Genomic DNA, 26,601 nt, shown 5'->3' with positions numbered 1-26,601 from the left:
TGGCGGGTGCCTGTAGTCGTAGCTACTTGGGAGGCTGAGGCAGGAGAATGACTTGAACCCAGGAGGTGGAGGTTGCAGTGAGCCAAGATTGCGCTGCTGCACTCCAGCCTGAGCAACAGAGTGAGACTCCATCTCAACAACAAAAAAAAAAGGTGGAGGAGATGACAAAAATGTTCTAAAATTTTAATGGTTGCACAATTCTGTGAATATACTAAAAACTGTTGAATTGTAATTTAAGTGGGTGAATTTTATGGTATGGGAATTGTATCTCAATGAAACTATTTAAAAAAACCGTTTGACCTGCTGACATGCTAATTAGTCTATAAAGTTTACGTTGGCTCAATTCACTTTTACCAAGATTGCTTACTCCTTCAACTTAAACTCACCTAATGCTTTTTGTTATTTTCAATGGATAACTTGGTTTTTGTAGATATGTCATGATATGGTCTATGCTAAAAATAACAGCTGATCTGTTTTGAGGGTAATAGTAGGAGGGCCAGAGGCAGCCTTTGTGCAGTCTCTACCAATTTTTTTTTTTTTTTTTTTTTTTTGAGACAGAGTCTTGCTGTGTCACCCAGGCTGGAGCACAGTTGTGTGATCTTGGCTCACTGCAACCTCCACCTCCCGGGTTCAAGCAATTCTCATGCCTCAGCCACCTGAGTAGCTGGGATTACAGGCATATGCCACCGTGCCCGGCTAATTTTTTATATTTTTAGTAGAAATGGAGTTTCATCATGTTGGCCAGTCTGGTCTCAAACTCCTGGCCTCAAGTGATCCGTCCGCCTCAGACTCCCAGAGTGCTGGGATTACAGGTGTGAGCCACCTCACCTGGCCTCTACCAAATATTAAAGGCAAATATTTTTCAAAATGAAATAAGTGCCGTTACTTACAAATTAGCAAAACAATTACCGTGCTGGCTCCAAGCTGTAATTGACTATGACTGAAGACTGGAGTAGTTGGTTTTCATGATGTCATCCTTAAATGTGAGGGAATTACTAAATCAGCCCCATTTCCCCTTGGCTTGTTATTGGTGCAAGATCAGTATCAAGATCTATTATAAATCACCCCATATCTAATATTTTACTATTAATAAATTCCTACCTCCCAGGTGCCTTAAAGTTCTTCAGCTGGGGAGAGATTTTTAATTTTCCTGTGTAGAGGCGGTGACAGAGCCTACACCCAAAAGTAGTAACTGCAGCAGGTTGACAAGATTTAGGGAGACAGTAACGCTTAAGTTGGATGAACAGTTTTATAGGCCAGCAGAGAATTTGTATCAGAAACACACTTGTTACAACAGTACATAAAAAGCCCTCAGTACCAAAGCAATGTTTTGTCATCGGCCTCCCTGCTGGGTTCTCCTCGGGTCAGAGTAGACCTATTGTATTTTTCATCTGAGAACACACCTCTCATTTGTAATCATTGGTTTCGGAAACAACAGCCTTGGAAGCGAACAGGAAACTGGAAAATGACTTTCTGGCAACAGAGGACAGCAGAAGAGCATAAACAATGCTGAGAGATCAGATTTATCTTTTAGAGCAAGTGAGGACCAGTGTCATGGTTTCCATCCCCATGAAAACCAGCTCCTAGTACCCTCTGACTTTGAAGTAAAATGCAGCCGCCCCCTTGTGTCGGACTCCCGAGTTTAATTGCTCAGGGCGTTTCCTGATTCCTGAGAGGGGTTACAGCACCATTAGAGGCTTGTTTACAGTAACATACTTTCATTAGTTGCTGGAATGGCAACAATTTTGTTTCCTATCATCTAATTTTTACTTGTGACCTGCTTTTATGTGGTGGTGTGTCTTTTCTATTTCTGACCTATCTAATTGCTTGCTTATTATGAAAAGCTGCTGAGGATAAGTCCCAAGTTAGCCATTACATATGTGTAGAAAAGATATGGACATTTAAATTTATGCATTTGTTTTGACATTAAAGGAGCAATGGGCGTGCCAGTGCCTGGCTGTAGGGGTGGAGTGGGGATCAGGAGGCTCCATTACCATGGGAAAGGGGCCAGGTTTAATAACTTCACCCGTCAAAAAGCTCATAACCCTATGAGCTTCTCTGCCTCATTCCAAAAGAGGATTTGGGATGAGCCTCCAGCAACAGGCATACCAACAGTGTAAGCAGAAATACAGAATGAGGACCAAGGGAAAAAGAAGGGTGCAGCTTGCGAGCCATTTGGGTTTATGTGGTTGGTATGATTGTGTTTGAAATTTGGCTCCAGGCTTTTTGGCAGGCACAGACAAATGGGATGTGTGGTTAATCACACATGTGGCTCCAAGTCACTTTTACTTTGTACCTTCTCTGAGGATTGGCATAAAGCTGTCCCTTTTTTGGTTCTTTTTGAGGGCAGGAAAGACCACAGTGGGGAGAAAGAGAAGGAAGTAAACACTGTCAAGTGCTAACTGCTCGACTTGCCTCTTAACAGCTCTCACATCCCCCAAATGACAATACTAGCAGCCGTAGTGGTGAAGACTGCGTGTCTCCTGTGGGCCAGCCACCTGCCAGGCACTTGTTTGGTTCTGCCAGTCTTGTCGTCAGCCTGAAAGGGAGGCTTGGTGGTCACTGTTTTTGCAGAAGAGGATGCTTGGGCTTAGGGAGGTTATACAACCAGATGGTGAGTTGTGGAGCCAGCCCCCGAGTTGTGTCTGTTGGATTCTACAGTGCAAGCTGCAAGCTTTTCCCATACTCCAGCTAGTTGTCCTTTCCTTTTAGCTCTTACTTGGTTCTGGGCTACAGAACCTGCTAGTCTGCTGAGTCTGCTTTGTTAGACAGCCAGCAAGTAGGTCTGTTAGTGAGGGTTTGGGTTCTGTGCATAGGTTTGTAATAACTCTTTGCAGTGCTTGGAGTCCTTTTTGATTCCCTTCCTTGCAGCTTTGGGGCAGTATTAAGTTGGTCTGTGTGTGGCAGTGTCTCTTTTTTTCCCTTTCATGGTTTAGGATTATCACACCACATGTCAGTAATTATAAAATGCAGGGCTGAGCTCAGGAGCCATTGTGCTCTATGTGGCTGCTAATCCCCATGCTAAATGGCACCACCAAGGGGCCTTTTATGTTCTTGTCTGTTTTCATAGTTAAACATTCCCCCCACCCCCAGGCCTTCAGCTGTGTTCACACAAATAGCTCACCTGTCCTCTGCTTATAATTTACTACGTCTTGTATCCAAACTTGTTTTAACTGTGTGGTAAGAGAGAACTAGCATATTAACTGACTCTTCTTGCTAAGAATGATATGCAAGAGCTTCAGTATTCAGACTTCGCCATCTGATTTGACATCTTTTTGCTTACATTGGGGAATTTGGCAATTCAAAGATTGACCATTTTGGAGATCTTTATCTACCTACCTACCTATCTATATGTAATCCTTCCCCATTTCCACAATATTAATACACGAACACCTTTTCTCTTTTTCCCCCTCGATTATCGAGATTCAGATAATACAGTGCTTGGGGAGGAGTGGGTGTGCCTTGCCCAACACCACTAAAAGAACTGATACAAAATCTCAAGGCTGGGTTTTGGGAGAGTACATATGTGAGAGCAAAAACATTAAACTAGCTACATTCTTTTCTCTATCTGGGGCATTTTTTACCCTGCTGCTATTCATAAATGACTTCCTAATGCAGTCCTGTGCATATGCAGAAAAAACAAAAAACCCAGGGCTATTTATGTTTGAGATACCTTTTATGTGGTATGTACTAAGCAAGTGTCAAAGGAAACCCCTCACACACAGACACTGTATATCAGTGAAATTTGGTTTCTAAACAAATACATTCCGCATATAAGCACTGCCTGGTGTTTGTTTAAAAGGAAGCTGTTCTGGAAATCACCCAGCTTGACAGGGAAGATTACCTCTGAAATGGTCATTTAGTTTTCCACCAGTCCTTAACAGATACTGTCATGCATTGCTTCATGACAGAGACACATTCAGAGAAATGTGTTGTTAGGGGATTGTGTTGTGCAAACATCATAGTGTAGGTACACAAACCTAGATGGTATGTCCTACTACGCACCTCGGCCATATGGTATATATAGCCCATGGCTACTAGGCTACAAATGTGCACAGCATGTTACTATGCTGAATATTGTAGGCAATTGTAACACAATGGTAAGAATTTGTGTACCTAAACATGCCTAAATGTCAAAAAGGTACAGGAAAATTATGGTACTATAATCTTATGAGACCACCGTTGTATATGTGGTCCCTTGTTGATTGAAACATTGTTATGTGGCCCATGCCTGTACTATTTCTCTCTCTCTCTCTTTTTTCTCTGTCTCTCCCCACCTGCCCATTTCCTCTCTCCTTTCTTCCCTTCCCCATTTATTTGAGTATTACTATAGAAATCATTTCATTACCTACAAAGGCAACTGAATCTGTCTGTCCACATAGGATTGGAGGGCCTGAATGAATAGGACACTCATATTATATAAAAAGAGTTACTCCTTTACTTGAAGACACTCAATGCAATTTAAACAATGACACCCTGCTAGGTCGTGTGAAGGTGCCAGTCCAGGCCTGGAAAGGGGAGCAGGGTTAGGGACAGCAAGGCAATGCATCTGCTAGCTGTCACAACAGAGGACAATGCAAGCGAGAGCTGGCACTGGTCACACTAGTCAAGGATGATGTCTAACACTTTGGGGCAAGATGTTCAATCTAAAATTCCAGCTAACTCTCCAATAGGAACTCTCCAAAAATGCAGTCTTGGACTTTTAGAAAAAGTGAAAGCAGAAATCAGAGAGGTAATAGCAAACACCGGGGTTTAGGAAACAAACCAGGACACAAGGCTAAGCTAAGAAGTTAAAACGTTCCTACCAAGATGCAGGTTGGTCACGTCACTTAAATCCTGTCATTCGTCACAGTAATATCCAGATGCTGTAAAGTTGCCCCAGGAAAGTACAGCCCCTGCCCCGGCAGAGGGACTGAGCCTGGTTGGACTCGGCCTTTTTAGAATGAGGTAATGCCGATTTATGTTCTATGCTGGCTGGACAGATTGTAAAAACCTGTCATTATTGCCTCTTCCCCCAGATAGAGACTGCCTTGACACCCCCTTTTTTTTTCGAGACGAGTCTCACTCTGTCGCCTAGGCTGGAGTGCAGTGGCACGATCTTGGCTCACTGCAACCTCCGCCTCTTGGGTTCAAGAGATTCTCCTGCCTTAGCCTCCTGAGTAGCTGGGACTACAGGCATACGCCACCATGCCCAGCTAATTTTTGTATTTTTAGTAGAGTTTTAGTAGAGACGGGGTTTCACCATGTTGGCCAGGATGGCCTCGATCTCTTGACCTTGTGATCCGTCAGCCTCGGCTTCCCAAAGTGCTGGGATTACAGGCGTGAGCCACCGTGCCCAGCTGACCCCTTTTAAAATTTGTCCAGCAGCAGCATTTTCCAACCAGTATGGTGTTTTGTCTTTATGGAGGTTAGGGTTAGAACCCTGACCTGTACTACTGTTGCCATGGTAACTGCCCTTGGCTTTAAAAAAAGAATTATATAATTTCCTGAAAGTGTTGTTAGACAATGTTTTTACAAGAGCACTCTCTGCATTTAAAAATGTGACATTTTGCTCTTAGAACTTTTGGGAGAGTATTAAAAAAAAGCAATAGACCCAAGTCAGGAGCAGCTCTGCAAATCTGAGATGCAGATGTGCTGATTGGGCAAAGGCCCAGTGCATGCGTGTGCAGCGTCTCCAGTTTTCCAGCTTGAGCCTTCTCCTTGCCATTGCTTATCTGCTTCTTGACATTCTGTTTGAGAGTAAAAGGAAACTTAACTGCTAATCGCTGATTTAAATACTTAAACTCTGCAGAAGTATTTATTGCATTGACTTCAATCACTCCTTCCACGGTATTTTCTAAATATTTCTGTGTAAGTTTAGACACGTTTAATTATTTCACTTTTCTTTCTTCCACGATGAAGAGGCCATGTATGACTTGGCCCCTCTGATGCCTCAGGTCAGCTTATTTCTCTTTTCCTTCCCCTGCTCCACTGGAATGAGTGAACATCTGTACGTCCTTCTTTCCCTTCTTCCCTCTCTGTGGCCTGAGCTAATCTCTGGGGAGACCCTGATGATGCCCCTTTGAACAACTCAAGGGCTGCTAGGACTAGAGGGTCCCTGGGGTCCACCTAGCCCTAATACCTTAGGGGAACCAGGCCAGAGGGTGTAGCGGTGACATGTTCACTATTAACCAAGAACTTGGTGCTAGCACTGGACTAGCCCCTCGGGGCACCAACTTCTGTTGCAGAGCTGCCTCTACACATCTGCCTGCCCCACTCTTGCTCCTCCCCAGCTTATGAAGCCTCCAGTGCTGTCAAGCACTCCCTTTCTGGCACCTCCCTCTTGGTTTCCTGGTTCTCATTCTACCATTCCATCTGTTTTTCTGTTTCTTTCTCAGCTGCTCACTCTTTCTTCTTGGGGTTTTTTTTTTTTTCCCCGTGAGACAGGGTCTGGCTCTGTCGCCCAGGCTGGAGTATAGTGGTGCGATCTCAGCTTACTGCAACCTCAAGCGATTCTCCCATCTCAGCCTCTTGAGTAGCTGGGACTATAGGCGCACACCACCACGCCCGGCTAATTTTTGTATTTTTTTCACCATGTTGGTCTCAAACTCCTGAGCTCAAGTGATCCACTCGCCTTGGACTCCCAAAGTGCTGAGCTTACAGGCGTGAGCCAGTGTGCCTAACCTCGGGGGTTCTTGACTGAGGCATAGCCCTTGGCTTTCTGTTTTCCTCTGTCTCCTCTCCCTGAGGTGGCTTGTCTGGTCTTAGGATTTTGCTTGTCACTTCCTTGCTTACAACTCCAAAAACTCTGCCTGGGCTTCTCCAGTGGAACTACAGTCAGATGGCTGAAGCATCCCGGCTCTTGGGTCCCATCTTGAGCTGCCAGGTGCCTCAGATATGGACTGGAGGAGTGGCTGTCACTGTGGTTCGCTCCCATGTTAGATACAGGGCTAGTCTCAGCTCTGCCACTCCCCATGTGTGACCCTGGGTGAGTTACTTAATTCCCTAAGCCCTGTTTCCTCATCTGTAAAATGGAGATGTTAATAGCACTTTTTTTTTTTTAATTATTACTTTTTGTGAGATGGCGTCTCGCTCTGTCACCAGGCTGGAGTGCAGTGGCGTGACCTCGGCTCACTGCAACCTCCGCCTCCTGGGTTCAAGCGATTCTCTTGCCTCAGCCTCCTGAGTAGCTGGGACCATAGGCATGTGCCACCACGCCCAGCTAATTTTTGTATTTTTAGTAGAGACGGAGTTTCACCATGTTGGCCAGGATGGTCTCAATCTCTTGACCTCGTGATCTGCCTGTCTCAGCCTCCCAAAGTGCGGGGATTATAGGCGTGAGCCACTGTGCCCAGCTAGTAGCACTTCTTTAGAGGGTTCACTGACCATTGAGAAATGTCTCTGTGGCACTTAGGGCCGGTATAGGTACAGTCAACTGCTAGCTAACAGTAATTTTTATTCTCTCTAAAATAGAATTTAAGAACCCTCCCAGGCCAGTTCTCCTGACCCTAGTGCTGGCTTTTCAATCTGGCTTCCCTGACCCATCAATGTCACCAGTACCATCCATCTTGGAACTTTTGAACCATCTTGTATTTACTCATCCTCTTTTTTTTTGTCTTTTTTTTTGGAGACACAGTCTTGCTCTGTCACCCAGGCTGGAGTGCATTGGCGCGATCTTGGTTGACTGCAACCTCCGCCTCCCGAGTTCAAGCAATTCTCCTGCCTCAGCCTCCCAGGTAGCTGGGATTACAGGCACCCGCCACTACACCTGGCTAATTTTTGTATTTTTAGTAGAGATGGGGTTTCACCATGTTGGCCAGGCTGGTCTTGAACTCCTGGCCTCAAGTGATCCATCCATCTCAGCCTCCCAAAGTGCTGGGATTAGAGGTGTGAGCCACCACACCTGGCCTGCCCATTCTCTTTAAACCCTATATTTGGCCAATCACCACATTTTATTGACATTTCCTCTGCAATTGCCCTTGAATTTCTCTGTTTTTCTCCACTTACCCTGGAGCCTCCTTAACTGGTCTCCTGGGACTGGCCTCTTCAGCTTTAGACCCTGATTCTTTCTGTCTAGCTTGTGAACCTCTTCATAAAACCAAACTTCTCTAAATAATGCTCTCATAATGAATTTGTTTATTCATTCACAGGCCTGTTCAATGAATCACTATTAAGAACCCACTGTGTGCTAGGTAGGTGCTCTGCCAGATTCTTACTCATTTTTATGTCTTTAGCACCTATTAGAGTTGAGAGAGAATGAATTTAATGAAACATGACAAATAATATGACTAATATATTTTAAAAATTTGCAGAAGGCCAGCTGTGGTGGCTCACGCCTGTAATCTCAGCACTTTGGGAGGCTGAGGCGGGCAGATCGCTTGAGCTTAGGAGTTCAAGACCAGCCTGGGCAATATGGCAAAACCCTGTTTCTATCAAAAATACAAACAGCCAGGCATAGTAGTGTGCACCTGTGGTCCCAGCTATTTGGGAGGCTGAGGCAGGAGGATCACTTGAGCCCGAAGGTTGAGGCTGCAGTGAACCACGATCGCGCCACTGCACTCCAACCTGGGAGACAGAGCGAGACGCTGTCTAAAAAAAAAAAAAAAAAAGTACAGAAGCCCAACAAAGGGTGTGTTCATTCTCTCTGGAAGTGAGGGAAGGATTCCCAGAAGAAAGAACATTTGACGGAGGGCTTAAAAGTCAAATTAGTGTTGTTGAGCCAAGGGATGGGAGGACTCAATATACACAGAGTGGGCGCCAGGTGTGGAGGAAAGTTCTTCACCTACACGGTGTGGCTGGTGGACAGATCAAGGGTGCTAGGCAGGACTGAATTCTGCCTGCTGCCTGTTTGTGTTTTTAAAATAGCTTTAATGAGATATAATTTACGTACCATAAAGTTTACCTGTTTAAAGTGTACAAGTCAGTGGTTTTTAGTATATTTATAGAAATGTGCAACCAGTGGCCCATAATCTAATTTTACAACATTTCCATCACCCTAAGAAGAAACCTTGTATCTATTAACAGTCACTCTCCCATTCCCTGTGTGTGCCCCCCACGACCCGGCACTAGCCCAAGGTAGCCACTAATCTACTTTCTAGATTTATCTGTTCTGCACATTCATATGAATGGGATCATGCAATATGTATCTTTTGTGTCTAGCTTCTTTCACTTAGCGTAAAGCACTTGAGGTTCCTCGATGTTGTAGCATGTATCAGTTGTTTCATTCCTTTTTATTCCTGGGTAGTTTTCATTGTGTGGCTATACCATGTTTTGTTAATGCATTCATCAGTCCGATGCCTGTTTTTAAAGTTTTATTAGTTTTAAAGCCACACCCATTTGATAATATGTTGTCTATGGCTGCCTTCTCACTACTGTGGCAGAGTTGAGTATTGTGTCAGAGACCTGCATGGCCTGCAAAGCTTTAAATAGTTACTATTCAGCCCTTTGCAGGAAGAGCTTGGCAATTCCTGTAATAGAGGATGAAGACAATGAAGGGGGTAGGCTGGGGCTGAGTGGAAGATGAGACTGGAAAGGCCACGTAAGGATTTGGACTTAATCCTGTGGATCGGCTTCTCAAAGTGTGTGTGCTGTGTGAAGCCCCTGCATCGGATCCCTTGATGTATAGATTCCTGAGCCTCCCCCTGGGCTTACCAGCTAAACCCCTTGCCCCACGCCCTTATTCTTAATTCCACCTGGACTTCTTTCTTCAGTCTCTCAATTCTTGCCACTTTGGAAGCCCATGCTTAGGTCTTAGCTCTTCACCAAACCCTTGCCTGATTGCTTTACCCTCCTCCATTTCTTTCTTTTCTAAACATCGCTCTGAATCTTCTTCCCCCTACCACAACCTGTGCCTTCCCACAGTATGGAATTATATGTTTTATTGTATTACTTGCTGCTGAATCGTGTGTGTTAATTCTGCACACTCAGCTGGTGAGTGGACTGCTTTCGGGCAGGAACTAGGTCTTGGGTCTTTTTTTGCATTATGCAAATTGGGTTATTGCATGGCACCAAGGATGTTATTTAGAGTATAACTGAAAGTCTTCTTAAATGACTTTCCTTTTGCATAGTGCATCTTTATTTGCTTTGCATTCTATTAGTGGACTTAGTGTTTGGTCCCTAGGCCCCTCAACATTGGAGCTAAGCAGGTGTCCTCCATTTTGTATGACTGCTTTGATTTACTTTTTTAATTAAATCTCTTTTAATTAATCTTATTTTTTACTCTAAACTGCAGATCTTTGTTCAGTCTTTTCCCTAGCCCATTTCTAAATCTTTGTTACATTCTTCTTTACTCTGAGGGGTTTTAGTCATCTGCTAGTAAACTAGTTAGTCCTTTCCGTCAGCTGGGTAAAAAGCTATAAATGGTTTTCAACTCTATGCAGCTCCCTTGGGTTGCTCATTTGATCTGAGCCAGGTTTGAAGTTGGGCCATTGAGAATGATCTGTCCTCATGATGTAGGGGGTGACTCCAGCCAATTCTTAATATTGCTGGAATTAATTAACTTTGATTCCTCTAACTGAAAGAGGGCATTTTACTCTACCGTGTATTATTAAATACCTTATAACTTGATTTTTTTGATTTTGTTTTCTTGCTCAGTGAGTACTTAAAATATCCCTGCCGATATAGTAATTTGTTCCCTGTTTAATATGGCTTTTTCCTTTGTTTACTCTGGACTCAAGTCTTTGTAGCTTGTTTTCTAAGTCAGCTCAAAAGTTGCTGGTCATTGGATTTGGCAGCCTTTTCAAGCTTTACCCACCAGAATCCTACAGGAAGTTGTGTGTCGGCCAGAAGAGTCTGTTTATTTAGAGCGTGGTGTCCAGCAGAAGCAATCCATTTATGAGGGTCTGGTCTTAAAGACACAGGCATCTGAGTCTGTGTTTGGAAGACCTGCTGCTTTGGCTTCCATTGCAGCCATGTTCTCCATGCTTTCCTGTCCAGCCCGCCGGGGCACCTCAGTGGCACTGCTGGCTGATTGAAGGAGTCCTTGTCTCTGAGCTCCTTGGCCTTGTCTGAAAGGCTGAAATATCAAGGCCCAGATATTAGACAGGGTTCTAGTCCAAAGCACCCTACAATAATGCTTTGTATTTATGGCTTTTTTTTTCCACCTGAACCACAGAGTCCTTCAGCTGAACCTGAAATTTGTACAACTCTTGGAGGATGAGGGGCAAATTACAGGTATGACTTGGATACTTTTGAAGATAAGAGAGCTAATGAGATGAGGTGTTACTGATTCTCACTGTGAAGCAAGGACAGAGCCCAGCTTTAGGATCCAAGGTCACTACCATAGCCTAACTCTTGCCCGGAGCTGAAGTGTCCCCTTGTGCCCATTATGGCTTAACTTCTATTTGTTGATACATGTGTACACACATCTGATCCATTTTGAATTTGCTCCAGCAAGTCGGTGATGTGGCTGTCGGTTCTCTGTGCCTAGCACTGGGCTTGCCACAGGTTAGGGACTGCATGCCTGTGGACCCGTTTACGTGGAAGCTGCATCGATGTCTTCTTAAAAGGTGAGTCCCCCTCCCAGAGTGAGGTGTGGCCTCACTACCAGTGATGTGAGCACATACCGAGGTGCCTTGGGGGAGAGGGGCAGAGAGGTATAGCAACTGCTGAGAGGCCTGAGCACAAAAGGTCGAAAGTGAGCTGTCGTACCTCTCAGCCCTCGCCATGCCCCTGGGGTCTTTTAATGACCTACAGTTGGATTTTTTCATGAGGTGGAAGTTATATTGAAATTTCTGCCTCAGAATAGTTCCTGAAGAGCATTGACTCTCTGGGAGTCTTAGGTAAATTTAACACTTAATGAAGGTAAAAACAATCCTTTCCACATTCCTCTGCTCCTCCTCTCAACCTCAGGTCAGTCGATGTGCAAGCAGTGCTTTCCTTGGGAGGCAGCAGTTTCTGAAGGTAAAGGAGAAAGCCCTGGTCCAAGGGAGCCAAAGGTCCGTTGGGACACACATGATTCCGTGTTGGGCACATGGGCATGTAGGTGTCTCCTAGCCTTGCCAAGCTGTCTTAAATTCGGGCATCTTCCAAAATCAAAGGCAACTGAAGAGCTTAATTTCCAATGATGATACATTTTGCCTCAGTCATCTGGCCCCAAAAGACTTCTGGGGGCCGATCACCCTCCCTTCTATTCTGAACGCCCTCATCCCCTAGATTGTCACTTGGTGCTTTTGGCCAGGGGGCTCTGCTTCTTCCTTGCTGCGAGTTCTTCCTGCTGAGCCCAGCATCCCCGTGAGGGCTTTCACGCAGGCCCTTCATTGCTCTCGGTATGTTGTCAGCCCATGTGTTGCAGTTTATTTTTGATTCCTGCTTTCATAAGGTTTGAAGATTCCACTCATTTTTCCAGTGGTTGTTAAGATAGTGAGAATCTAAATGAAATGGTAATATTACCATTGTGAACAATTATTTTTCTAAAAGAATCTTTTGTGTTCATTTTTAATGCTGTTAAGATCTAATTCCCAGTATTTTATTTGGAAGCTCTTCAAATTTCCCAAATCATAAAATCTTTCAAAGCCTACTCCAAGTTACTTTTTCTTGATTCAGCTCTCCTATTTGCATTTAAAATAAAAAGGCCAGCCTATTTCCAAATATGGAAATGATCTATGTTTATTAGAGATCAGCAAAGTGATATGGGCCCTTGACTTGCTGTGAGGTTTTTTTTTTAAATGTGTTTTAGAGCAATGTACAAGGGCAATTTTTCGTCCTGTTTTGTCATGTGTTCTTAAATACATTTCCTAAACACTTTCTCTGGCTTGGTGCTATTACTGTGTATACGTCCTACATATGTTTCCTATTTTTTATGACTCATACTTACGGTACTCATAAAGATTTATCCTTTATCTTGGCTCTGAGTAATGAGCCCACTTGCACATTTCCAGCAGAACTGTGGGTTAGGGATTTTACATTTCATTCTGCTGGAGAGGCCTCTGGAAGGCATAGCACAGGCAGCGCAGCATGTTCCTTGTAGGCAGTACTCACTTCTCCCTGAGGGAACAGTTAGCTCAGTTTTTGTGAATTTACTAATTTTTGTTCTCTAGCTTTTCCTTTCCCTTTGCCCTTTTTAGCCATTTTGCTGTTTGAGTGAGGCCACACAAGAGCATGAACAGATGAAACAAATGCTCTACTCCTTTTTGCTGCTGAGTAACTGTGGTGGAGGAAGAAATGGAAATAATGAACTGAAACGATATTATTACATGTGGCAACAAACTCAGGCAAGGAGTCTTCTTGGGTCCAAATAAACATTCAGACCCATGAGACTATCATAGGCCATGGGTGGCTTCATTATACTTAAAAGGGTATAGGACAAGGACCACAGCTTACGGCATGGCAGCAAGGCATTCCTCCTTGTTGTGTGCCTTGTGACTGTTCACACATCAGTTCATCAGTTCACATAGCCATCCAGAGCTCTCCAGCTGATGGCTCAAATGCCAGGAGATGAGATCTCTGTGTGTGTGTGTGTGTGTGTGTGTGTGTGTGTGTGTGTGTGTGTGTGTAGTTCTCTAGTTTAAAAGCCTTAGGAAGGCCGGGTGCAGTGGCTCACACCTGTAATCCCAGCACTTTGGGAGGCTGAGGCGGGTGGGTTACCTGAGGTCAGGAGTTCGAGACCAGCCTAACCAAAATGGTGAAACCCGTCTCTACTAAAAATACAAAATTAGCCAGGCATGGTGACGCATGCCTGTATTCTCAGCTACTTGGGAGGCTGAGGCAGGAGAATCGCTTGAGCCCGGGAGGCAGAGGTTGCAGTGAGCCAATATCATGCCATTGCACTCCAGCCTGGGCAACAAGAGTGAAACTCCATGTCAGAAAAAAAAAAAAAAAAAAAAAAAGCCTTAGACCCTTGCGGGAACTAGTAGGCAACTATGTAGGAATAGTTTTCATGGTACTCTGTCTCATAAATATGCCCCATTTACAAGAATCACTGCTCTCAGGGAAGCCCCCAGATGTCACTTCTTATCAGATGTCTTAAAATTTTCCAGTCCCAATAGCAAGCTGCCTTGTGTTATAATTGACATATTGTCTTACCAGATTACCAGGGTTACAGAATTGAGAGAGTTAACAGAAGATCAAATTCTCATGTAAAAGGGAAAAGCTTTGCTCACTGTTTATCCACACCTGTACGTTTTATTGTTTTTATTTGTGGTATTCCTGACTGTGATAGGCTAAATAATGGCCCCCAAAGATATATCCACGTTCTAACCCCTAAACCTGGGAATGTTGCCTTTATATAGAAAAAGCCTTAGCAGGTGTGATTAAATTAAGAATTGTGAGATGGAGGATTATCCTGGATTATCTGGTGGCCCCTAAATACAGTCACATGTATCCTTATAAGACAGGGATTTGATGACACAGACAAAAGGGAAGACTGTGTGACCATGCAGGCAGAGATTGGTGGTCTGGAACCCACAAGCCAAAGAATGCCAGCAGCCACGAGAACCTGAAAGAGGCTGGGAACAGGTTCTCTCCTGGAGCCTCTGGAGGGCATGTGGCTCTGCTGACACCTTGGTTTTGGCCTAGCAATGCTGATTTTGGACTTCTGGCCTCCAGAACTGTGAGAGAATAGCCTTCTGTTGTTCTAAGCCACCCAGTTTATGGTAATTTGTTACAGCAGTATGGGAAATGAGCACACACTCACATTAGTTTGAGTTCCATGCTCCCTCCTGTCTCCAGTTTGTTTACTCCTGTGTTCCCCAGCTCTGTAAAGGACGCTACCACACAGTTGCCAGGGCCACAGTCCTTGGCATTATTATCCATGACTTCCTGTGTTTGCTCAGATGTCATATCCAATCCTATTTGTTCTACCCTAAGACCATATTCTGAATCTGCCCACTTCTGACCACCACCTTCGGTCTGACCCACCATCACATTTTTACTTGAGAGGCAGTGGGCCTCTGGCCCATCCCTCTTAGGAGTGCAAGATCTGGGGTAGAGCGCCAGTGTTGGAAGCCTGGCTACACTGCTCATGAGCTGTGGGGCTTTGGGCAAGTCAGTTAACTTCTTTATGCTTCATTTTCCTCATGTGGGCATAATCATAGTATCTACTTCATAGAGTTGCTGTGACGATTAAATAATTAAAGCATGACTGGTGCTTAGAACAGTGCGTGGAATATCATCAGCACTCCATAAATGTCAGCTGCTATCATTGTTAGCAATTAAGATCTATTCTCTAAGTGGCAGCCAGCATGATCTTTTGAAAGACTTCCGTCCAGTCACGAAGTTCACCAGTTCAGCTTCCTGCCATGGTTTTTTACATTTCAATGAAAATGCGCAATCCCCACCAGAGCCCTGAATGATCTTTTCCCCCTTCTCCCAGCACTCTCACCATTGCTCACTGTGCTGCAGTGGGCCCTGACATCTTGCCTCCTGTCCTTGGCATGGGCTCTTTGTTTTGCCTGAAGTACTTCTCCCAGTTACTCATGTGGCTGCCTTCACCCAGTCCCTGCTTTGCCATTACCTCCACTGAGAGGCCTTCATTGACCACCCCATTTAAAATAGTCATAGCACCCCACAACAGACACACTCTCTTTTACTGTTTTACTTTAAAATGTAACTTATATTACCACCTGATATTTATTTTTAAATATGTTCACTGTCTATCTCTTCTGCTAGTATATCATCAGTATAGATGTTTTATCTTTAGTTGGTATTGCCAGGAATTAGAACAGTGCCCACTACATAGTAAGCAGTCAAGAAACATTTGTGAAATAAACATTTGCATGAATAAATAAGTATGTTGATGTAGCAGTTTAGCAAATAGGTTAAGTCTAGAAATTCTATATATGGAAGTTTCTCATTAATTATATTTTTTGAAGATCTAGTTATTGATATTGGTATGTATGGCTTGGGCATAAAGTAATGTTTCTTAAACCAAGGCTTCAAGGTATAGAAGACAGCACTGGATTGTGAGTCTTAATAAAAGACTTCCCTCTTTTTTGGTCTTCCCTCTGTTGTGATCTTTTTTGTTTAAACTTGAGGGCAAATGTGTAGACCCATTTGGATCTCAGTTTCTTTTTTTATTTTCTGTCAATATAAAGACATTGAGAAAATTAATATTTCAAAATACCAATTGAGAATTAGAGTCAAAAGCATTTCTGGAGTTGTTAAACTACAAAATATCCTTAAAGAAACCCTCAGCATTCAGTGAATAAGGAACCACCTAAGAGCTGAAATGTAAACTAAGGGTGTCTCATGTCTTCTTATGTGTGTTTTTTTTTTTTTTTTAACCTAGATTAAGTAGGATTTACAGATCTGGGGGCAGATCTGGTCTCTGAATACTTGGGAAAATGCTTTTGAGTTTCATTGCTTATATCTTACTGCCTTGCACAGTAAAAATTTCATGATTTTCCAAAGAGCTCTACTGTTTCGTCAGGACAGAGTACATGTGAATCTTTCCCTGTCTTTCTTTTATTTATTGAAATGCAGAAGATTAGAAGAACTAATTATTTCAGTTTGTTGAGTGGAGGCCTCTCTCCACATAAATTAGAACCAGGCAGTTGGACAGTCAGCTGCAGCTGCCTTTGTGAACTGGGCACCGGTGCAAAGCATTGCAGGAGTGAGGAGACAGGCAGCCCTCGGAGCTCACGGTCACCGTGCATCCAGGGACAAAGAGCAACACCTGTAACAGAAAGTACGGAGACGTAGAAACATCTCATCGCCCTAAATACACGAGATAGAAACTTAACCAAATAGATGTAATCAACTACAGCTGGGCTGAGATAAACACGTTAAGTGCTAAGTAATCAGGCATGTTAGGGGGATGTGGGGCTGGGGCTAGGGCTGGGGCTAGAGCTGGGGTTGGGGCTGGGGCTGGGGGAAGGCATTGCTGGAATAATTGGAGCCAGGTGTGCTTGCCTGGTGCTGCTTTTTGGAGGTGAGAAATTGGAAAGGTTTGAAATGGGGATGTGGTTTGGCAGAGGGCTGAAAGGAGAATTTTCCAAGACTAGGGGAGGAGACTGGTAAATAAAATAGAGCCGAGTTGAGTATGAAATATGTTGAGGACAGCAAGTACCTTGGCAGCTGTGAAAGCTTCATCTGATGGTTTTGCCTGTTGGTGTTGATGCTGGGAGAATGGTCTTCAGCTGAACACCACAGGTCTTCAAAGCCAGGTGAATTGTGACAGCCTGTGACACTGGAAGGGGCAGTGTAGACAGGCCTCTGAAGATAAATGTTTGTCCCCAGATTTCCCCACTACAGATTGGGAGAAACCTCTAGCTTTACCTCACAATCCAGTGATGTCAGCTGCCTTGGAAGCAGTTCCTTGCTTTGGCACTTCCTATGTTCCTATTTTTTTGGAAGGTACCTGCCAGGGAGGAAAGGCAGCGAGCACAGGTGATTGAGTTTTTGTTCAGAGATTTGGGGTAACCTCAGAGTAGATGTGGTGTTGGGGTCAGGTGTGGAATGAATGTGGTCTTCCCAGGACCTTTGTTTGTTAGATTCAGAAGTCTCCAGAACTACGGTGAGATTTGGGGAGCAAAACCTGAGCTTGTCCAGGTTAGTGGTGCCTGAACAGGAACAACTAGCAAAGATGTTGATGTTTGTGCTACCTTTCGGCCCTCGTCTTTAATGAGCTCCAAATCCCAAAGGTGAAGGAAAAGCAGACAAATGACAGAACAACCATTAGTTCCTCATGAGGAAGCCAAGTGTTTGGAGGGTCATGTATGCAGCTGCCACCAATTTGTCACCCTGCTTGAAAATCCAGGGACCTGTAGGCAGGAGGTAATGGCACTACACTGATCAGAGCCAAAGTCAAACGCTGGTAGGCTTCTTTCCAGAGAATTACAAAACCTGGCATTTTATTTGTTTTTTTCAACACCCCTGGAAGGGAGATTCTGTTAGCTCTGTTTTACAGGTGTGGAAATTGAGGCTAAGAGAGGTTAAGTATTCTACCCAAGGTCATGAGCTGGGAAATAATTGGTAGAACCTAACCTTGAATTCACAACACACTTCCTATAGATGGAGTTGACATGCACTCTGAGTGGCTCTGGGCAAGGTGGGCTTTCCCAAGGCTTAGGCATTTATTCAATAATGAAATCATTATTTATTAAGCACCTGTTTGTAATGTGTCAGGCACAGTGCCAGGCACTGGCAGTCCTGACCCCCTACCCTTGAGAATTTGCCAAAGGTAACAAAAACACAGTGGATAGTGAGTTCTCCCTTGCTCCCGCTCCCATTTAGATGATCTCAAGCTCTTTACTTTGCTTAAATGTGGGCTTAGATGTTGCACCCAGTGTTGCGTGTTGACTTAATCATATGCAGGTAAGTCTTTGAGCTGCAATGAAACAGCCATCAGGTAAGAGTTAAATGTGAATAGCTGGGCTGTCATCTATAGGTGAAGAGCTTAGAAAGAGGGGCAGGTTAGGGCACCCTGTTATTAACATCAGCTCTGTTCTATACAAACAATTCTCTTACTGGATTACCTGTGCCAAAATATTGCTGAATAGCTTGGAAACAGGTTAGTATTTTGCCCTTTAGCAAAACAGACAAAAGAAAGACCATGGAGTTGAATTTGGAAAGGAATCTTGGAAAATGAATGTTTCAGTACAACAATGTATCATTCACATGCCCAGAAATTCAGCACTGCAGGGCTCCTGCTGGCAGAATCAGGTGAACTCTGGGATGCATTCTGATTTGGTCTTGAATTCTTGCATGTCTTGAGTAGGTTGAAAGTTGGTTATTTTTGTTTTGCTGGCAGTGGCCTTTACTTAGAAGTGCCCAGGAGATATTCTTGGGATAGATGCCAACAGGCTTTGTGTCTTTTCCCTTCAATTTTATAAAAATGTAAATGAAAGGATTTCCCAGCACCAAGTTGTGGAGCTACCTGGGTATTCAAGTGACAGGAAGAGTTGGTTGTTAGGGTGGTTAGGAAGGGCTTCTTAGAGGAAGCGTGCTTGAACTGAGACCTGAATGGTGAAAAGGCGTGAACTATGCCGAGATCTGGGTGAAGAAGAGGCCAAATAAAGGGCCCAGGCCCTCAGCTTGGAAGCAGCTTGTTGGAGATGAGAGAGGGGCCAGTATGGCTGGAGTGGAGTTAGCAAGGGGGAGAGTGGTGGGAGGTGCGATTGGTCATTGAGGGTTGGATCACGTGGGGCCCTGCGGAGTAAGAAGTTGTTTCTTGGCATTTCTTTACATTTCTGTGTTCTTATCTAGTGATTAAAAGAGCTGACCCTAAATTCTGAAGACTTGGGGAGTCCGTGTTTGCTAACAACGGAGAATTGGTTCTATAAGGAGAAATGCGAATAGTTCCACTGGCAAGGGAAGTAGAAACTAGATTACTAGAGTGGATATTTGGGCTCTAGTCCCAACCATGCCATAACCAGCTACAGAACTTGGGCAACTCATGACCTCTTTGGGCTTCAATTTCCTTATCTATAACAAACATTTGGAGTAGAATGTCTGTAAAATCTCCTTTCTCACTAGAAGTCAATGATTTTATTATATATAAATTTCATTTTTGGTTTTATCCTTTTGTTTCTTTCAGACTTTTACCAGTGATCTTACAGTAACCAAGTCCACTCACTAGTTCTGATTTCACTCTTTTCTCTATTCCTTTGCTTCTGGAGTAGCCAGTGAAGTACTTGGAAAAAAAAATGTCAGGAGGGAAAGAGAGAATTTCATAACTTTGCACAGTGTACTCAACAGTGCATATTTAACACATTGCCTGTTGCCCTGAAAGAATTCCCAATCACCGCATGAGTCGATTGTGATGACCGAGACTTGTTCTCAGACTAGTGATGTAGGGTTTAACCAAAAAATGCCATTGTCCTTACTGAGGAGGATTTATCCCATCAAAACGGCATTTGAGAACCTGACAGTGGGATACTGTTGTTTGCATTTACTCTTTTTTTTAAATCATATTTTGATTTATTGGAAACTTATATTTCAATAAAAAAAACCTGCTCATCTTTCAGTATCAATTATACAACTCTCTCATTGAAAAGTATATCTAGGCCGGGCGCAGTGGCTTACGCCTATAATCCTAGCACTTTGGGAGGCCGAGGTGGGTGGATCACTTGAGGCCAGGAGTTTGGGACCAGCTTGAGAACATAGTGAAACCCCATCTCTACTAAAAATACAAAAATTAGCCTGGCTGGTGGCGCACGTCTGTACTCCCAGCTATTTGGGAGGTTGAGGCGGGAGAATCACTTGCACCTGGGAAGCAGAGGTTGCAGTGAGCCGAGATCGTGCCACTGCATTCCAGCCTGGGTGACAGAGTGAGACTCTCAAAAAAAAAAAGAAAAGTATATCTAAAAGAAATTAGCAAGACCAAGTATATTAACTTGTTTTTAGACTACTACCATGTCAACACTTCCTATTTTAAAATGCACTGTAAATCATGGTTTACCCTTAGGATTAGCTTTGAGTATTTCATTATTTGTTTTGCTTCTGCCAAATGTAAAAGACTAAGTGGGCACACTGACCCAGAATTAAAGTTAAGGAAAGCAAAGAAACTCTCTAAAACAAACATTATTTAATTTTTCAAGCCAGCATTTCAAGACATTTTCACTTGTTGAAAGGAGAAAGCACTTCTATTTTGTTCTCTAGTATTCACTTTGGCAGGCTAAACTAAACTTTTTAAAATTGTTCCTTTTAATTGAGTACACAGATCATTTTAGTGTGACATGGCATTTATGAAATTGATAATTCAGTCACATCAACTCATTTATTGAGATACATTCATTTCTAGAGATCTTTTGTTTTTTGAGATGGAGTCTTGCTCTGTTGCCCAGACTGGAGTGCAGTGGCGCGATCTCGGCTCACCGCAACCTCTGCCTCCTGCATTCATGCAATTCTCCCTGCCTCAGCCTCCTGATTAGCTGAGATTACAGGCGCCTGCCACCAAGCCTAACTAATTTTTGTATTTTTTAGTAGAGACGGGGTTTCACCATATTGGCCAGGCTGGTCTTGAACTCCTGACTTCAGGTGATCTGCCCGCCTTGGCCTCCCAAATTGCTGGGATAATGCTCATGAGCCACTGTGCCTGGCCTAGAGATCTGTCCTGAAGACTTTTACTGACTCTATTAGTTGCTGAAAGAACCATAGGCTCTAGATTTATAGGTGGCCATAGAGATAGAGTCTAACCTTTTCATTTATGGGGAGACTGAAGCCCAAAGTAAGATACTTAAGCCAAAAAAAAAAAAATCATTTATTTATTTATTTTTATTATTTTTAGAGACAAAGTTTCACTATGTTGGCCAGGCTGGTCTCAAACTCTTGTCCTCAAGTGATCTGTCCGCCTCAGCCTCCCAGAGTGCTGGGATTACAGGCCTGAGCTACTGTGCCTAACCCCCTTTTTAAAATGAATGATATGTCAGGATCTTACATTAGGAGGAAGGCAAAATTGGGGAGCACCGGGGTTTGTGGTTTATAGTGAAAGTTAATTTCCTCTGTTTCTCAGACAATTAACTTTTTTTCTCCTTGAGGGCAAACAACAAATGATTATTTTCTAGAAATCAGACAATCCTATTTTTGTTCTAAAATTTCATGCCAACAATTTACTTACTTTCTTCTTTGAAAAGAATGAGAGAGATTCTGACCTAAAATTGTCTGAAATGTGTACTGAAGATGCTAATATTGTATTGGTAGGTCTTGCCAAGATTTAAGAGGGCATCTCAGAAAGACATTGTACACCATTCTACAATGGTAACTTGTTTTCACCTTAGAGATGATAAAGTAGAGGGATAGATAAGAGGCTTAATTCAGCTCATTTCTTACACAGTAGAGAATTATGGATAGAACTTACAGACTTTTACATAAAATAATGTAACCAGGACCAGAATTACCAGGCCCTATAAGTTGTTCCTTATAGAAATGCTCAAGGCTCCTAGCTCAGTTGCTTAATTCATTGATAGTTTATGGTTATACCCCAAACTCAACAAGTGTTTATTGAGGGACTATGACCTGGGGACAAAGCCAAGGAACAAACTCCTCAAGTCTAGGAGATTTAGGGTTGAGGGCTAGAGTTTGATTTTTCTCACCATGCAAGATATTCCTTGGTAATTCAGCAACAATCTAAAGGTACCCTTTAGATCCTAAACAAAAATGGGATTTAAAATTGTTATTAGATTTATGAATGATATGTTTTCTTTTGGGCAAGTAAGTCAGGTAATGGAAGTTCATTTAGTGAATCAGTGCAGTAATGTGGTTAACTAAGTGACACTTACTAAGCCAGAAGTTAATGTACTCATTATCTATCAGGAAGCAAATCAGGGTCTATGTCTCTGAAAAGCAAATGATCGTCTTTCATTAACTGGTTAAGCTTGGCTTTCAAGGCTCATTGTGATCTGGCTCCAGTACCCTTTCAACGACATTCTTCTTTATTCTTTTTTGTATTTCCTTAGCTCCGTCTGAATTAAGTATTCTTCACACCCACTCATGCTGCCTCCACTGCCCTTCTCCTTGTCTGGACCCCTTAGATCCACCTTTCCCCATTCACCCTCTGGCCCAGCTGAAGTGCCCCCTTCCTGCTGCCCACAGATGTGTTTGTATCTGCCTGTCCCTCTGCCCCCATCAAACTGTGAGCTTCTTGAGGGCAGGTATTGTGTCTGACTCACATTTGAAGTCCTTTCATTACTTAGTGGTGCTTCCCAAATATAAGTTTATATGTGCTATTAGTCTTCACAGTTTGTGTAGTATTCATATATTATTTGCATTATTTACCTTTTTTTTTTTTTTTTTTGAGACAGAGTCTTGCTCTGTCACCCAGGCTGGAGTGCAGTGGCACGATCTCGGCTCACTGCAAGCTCCGCCTCCCATGTTCATGCCATTCTCCTGCCTCAGCCTCCTGAGTAGCTGGGACTACAGGTGCCCGCCACCACGCCCGGCTAATTTTTTTGTATTTTTTAGTAGAGACGGGGTTTCACCGTGTTAGCCAAGATGGTCTTGACCTCCTGACCTCAGGATCCATCCACCTCGGCCTTCCAAAGTGCTGGGATTACAGACGTGAGCCACCGTGTCCGGCCCATAATATTTTTTCTTAAATCTACTCACTTAAAAAATGACTTTAGCTTCATCCTCAACTTCCTAAACATGAAATCATGTTTTTAATTCCTGTAAAAATATATATACATAAAGTATATCTTAAAACATTCTTATTATCTCCACACTTTGGGAAGGATTGACTGAGTAAAGTGCTTTACACATAGTAGCCATTCAGTTTCTGAGGAATGAATAGTAAATGCGCAAAACATAACATGAGAACCTCTTTTCCCTGTTAGTTTAGTAACTTCACGCTTATTAACCTAGAGATAAAAGGAGGAGGGTGCAGCTAGAAAAGACTGAGCAAGCCCGTAAGCCAAGCCATTCATTCCTGTCTGTGAAGCATTTAGGTGTTAGATATTACTAATTACCTCTTATGCATTGCAAACTGCTGGGCTAGAGGGGCCTATGGAACAATAAATTTTGTGGATTGCAGAGTCCCTGCTGACTTACTGAGTGAGCCTCTGCTGAAACTCCAGAAATTGTGTAAGTGGACCCCTTCCCCACAAAAGATTCAGAAAGCAGCGCACTATACATGGGACACATCCTAGAGAAAAGGGGTGTGGTAAGTATGTGTACACATCACATGGTTGTTGTTGTATTTCTCAGTGTTCCTGTTTGGGGCAGTTTAAGTTACAGATTTCTCACTACCACTAAGTGTTTTTTAGGAATGCATTGTGTACTGCCAACATAACAGAGGTCTGAAGGATTTTTCTATAAATTTGCTAATGGGAATTGTATATTTTTTAACCTAATTTTTGAGGATATTGTAAGATTACTCAGGTAGACCAATTTGAGTTTCTTTAAAAAGAACAAGTTCCTATATATTCAAGCTATAGTTAACATAGTTAATAATTAAATTAATCATACTAATAAATATTGAAGCCTCTTATAAATCCATGAAGAGATTTCTGTTTTAGTTACTATACTCTATATTTGCTGCTTCTATAGAGTGTAGAAATAGTATGCTGTAGTTTCTTATTTATTATGTAAACTGCAGTATAGATTTAGGGTGGCAGATCAGAGACTAGAACAGGTGATTTTTTTCAATTGGTGTTTAATAAAGTTTAGGTAATTTTTTCTTAAATCTGTAGGAATCAGTCTATGTAAGTTCAGCATGGGATAAAGTCTATTTAGGGTTTTATGAGAAAAATCACCCACTCTTTTTTTTTTTTTTAATCCAGGGTTGGGATCAACAGTTGTTCTAGCATGGGCAGGGTAACTTGATATAATGGCATACATTTTTACCCTGGTCTGCTCTTAGAGCAAATTTGAAATGGTTGTTTTGGAAAATGTGCTATGAGTTTCTCTCCAGACCTTTGCACCAGGGCAGGCAGTCCAGCCTAGCAAATCTTTGGCACTTGATGCGCATCTTTCATAACAGAACTTTGATGCTGAGACTCAGTGTCTTGAAATCAGCACAACAAAATGGTGCCTGAGGAGCAGTGTTTACTTTGATCATTCTTCAACTTCTGTGCCCCAGCCTTTCACAGAGCACAAATTGCTTTACCAGAGTTACGGTGCTGAAGCCCACGACTGTTTTTGTAGTCTGGTTGCTGTGGTGATCCTTAGCCTTCCATGAAACTCCCATCTCTAGGGAAATAGAAACCTTTGCAGCTGTCTCGGCCTTTTTGGTTTTGTATCTGGTGGAGGTCTTCACCGAGCTTGTTCAAGCCTGAGAGTGATCGGTTTGTGTCAGAGTAAAATACACACATGGAAACAGGGCATCCCCTTCAGGATGTGTTGTATTAAAAAAAAAAACAAAAAAAACAAAAACACAGCTCCCTTATCCTTCTCTCCAATCATGTGGGGCCTTTGAAGTATCTCCAAGTCTGGCTAGAGTGAAGTGAGCCTTGGAGATGTTGTTGGTCATGATAGTGCTGTGAGTAAGCTTTGGGAGCGTGACTCAGGAAGTGGGGTGGCCAGGTGGGGAAGAAAGAGAGTGGGGGCAAAGGGGAAGGTTAACAGGGCCCGTGTGTGCCCAGAGAGAAGTTGGTTTAGGAGGAGAATGTGGGCCGAGTCCAAGGATGCCAGCAGCTTGATGTTTAGAGGACTATGAGGAAACCCGTTTTGACTTGAAGCCTCAATGGAGGATGGTATAGACAAGAGCTTCCTTCCATAGGAACCAAGGGAATGGAGAATAGCAGCTGTGGTTTTAGTGGGTAGAAGTAATAATAGCTAACACTTAGAGAGTGCTTACCAGATGCCAGTCACTGTTCTAAGTGCTTTCGACAAATGACAGATTTAACCCTTTGACATCTGATAGAATAGATACAATTATTATCCCCATGTTACAATTGATGAAACTGATGTGAGTAGAGTCTTAACATCCTCGAGGCCCTAGGGTGGGTAGGTGGAGAGCTGAGATTCCAACCTAATGCCTGGCTCTGAGTCACTGTTCTTAACCACCAGGTCAAACTGCCTGTAATTTAGAAAGGAAGGCAGAGTGACCCAAAGGATTGGGTTACGGGAGATGTGGCCAACTTAGAAGAAAATGTAGATCTTGGAAGAGATGAAATTATGCTTTAAAATGTGTGTGTTGATTCATGTATTAGTCCATTCTCACATTGCCATAAAGAAATACCCGAGACTGGGTAATTTATAAAGAAAAGAGGTTTAATTGGCTCACAATTCTCCAGGCAGTACAGGAAACATAGCAGCTTCTGGGGAGGCCTCAGGAAACTTTCAATCGTGGCAGAAGGCGAAGGGAAAGCAGACACATCTTACATGGATGGAGCAGGAGGAAGAGAGAGTGAAGGGCAAGGTGCTACACATTTTTAAACAGCCAGATCTTGTGAGAACTCTCTCATGAGAACAGCACTAGGGGGATGGTGCTAAACCATTCACGAGAAACTACCCCTATAATGCAGTCACCTCCCATTAGGCCCCACCTCCAACATTGGGGATTACAGTTCAACATGAGATTTGGGTGGGGACACAGATCCAAAACCTATCAATTTCTTCATTCAGTCATTCATTCGTTACCAAATATTAATGTAATTCCTGTAAGTGCTAGATACTGGACAAGGTTCTAAGGTGATAAAAATACAAGTCCCACCCCATGCTCTGAGATAGTTTATATGTACAAAGTTAATACAAGGCAGCAGATTCTGGATGCTGTAAGAGATGGGTCAACAGGACATAGGTCAGTAATATCCTCTGGACACAAAGTCTTCTATTTTTTTTTTTTTTTTGAGATGGAGTTTCGCTCTTGTTGCCCAGGCTGGAGTGCAATGGCATGATCTCGGCTCAACTCAACTTCCGCCTCCTGGGTTTAAGGGATTCTCCTGCCTCAGCCTCCTGAGTAGCTGGAATTACAGGCATGCGCCACCACACCCGGCTAATTTTGTATTTTTAATAGAGACGGGGTTTCTCCATGTTGGCCAGGCTGGTCTTGAACTCCCGACCTCAGGTGATCCTCCTGCCTTGGCCTCCCAAAGTGCTGGGATTACAGGCATGAGTCACTGCACCCGGCCAACACAAAGTCATCTTAAAGAGCATGGCTTTTTTTTTTTTTTTCTGTGATCCAATGTGAAAATACAAAACAGTAATTAATGCATTTATCCCTCCTTCCAGAAAGAATTGAGAAGTTACTTTGCTGAGTTTGTATATAGTTTCCAGGAGTAAAATAGTTCCTGCCTCTTACTGCTA

The 26,601-nt window shown here is 43.2% G+C and overlaps 1 protein-coding gene across 12 annotated transcripts in view, besides 2 other annotated features; it reads left to right on the top strand.

Moving 5' to 3' along the window:
- The window catches only part of TGFBR3 (transforming growth factor beta receptor 3), a 225,660-nt gene that overhangs the window by 111,646 nt on the left and 87,413 nt on the right, over positions 1-26,601 (top strand). Inside the window, exon 1 of one of the 12 annotated variants that reach the window (XM_047429273.1) lies at positions 8,151-8,171. The exons of the other annotated variants lie outside the window; for them this stretch is intronic. The gene's annotated coding sequence lies outside the window, so the exon portion shown is untranslated. Of the gene's footprint in view, positions 1-8,150; positions 8,172-26,601 lie in introns of those variants that run through there. 12 annotated transcript variants of the gene reach the window in all.
- Positions 6,212-6,341: an enhancer, noted in NCBI's record as "active region_1307". NCBI's record gives its function as "activates an Ori minimal core promoter by ATAC-STARR-seq in GM12878 lymphoblastoid cells {active_cell/tissue: GM12878}" and the evidence as "EXISTENCE:reporter gene assay evidence [ECO:0000049][PMID:35858748]".
- Positions 8,249-8,452: a silencer, noted in NCBI's record as "fragment chr1:92251462-92251665 (GRCh37/hg19 assembly coordinates)". NCBI's record gives its function as "represses an EF-1alpha promoter that drives an FKBP-Casp9 reporter gene in an ReSE screen in K562 erythroleukemia cells {active_cell/tissue: K562}" and the evidence as "EXISTENCE:reporter gene assay evidence [ECO:0000049][PMID:32094911]".

The sequence above is a fragment of the Homo sapiens genome, chromosome 1 (assembly GCF_000001405.40).
Source record: "Homo sapiens chromosome 1, GRCh38.p14 Primary Assembly".
In the NCBI taxonomy this organism is placed as follows: domain Eukaryota; kingdom Metazoa; phylum Chordata; class Mammalia; order Primates; family Hominidae; genus Homo; species Homo sapiens.
The sequence above is the reverse complement of the archived record's forward strand: the minus strand, read 5'-3'. Positions and strand labels throughout refer to the sequence as shown.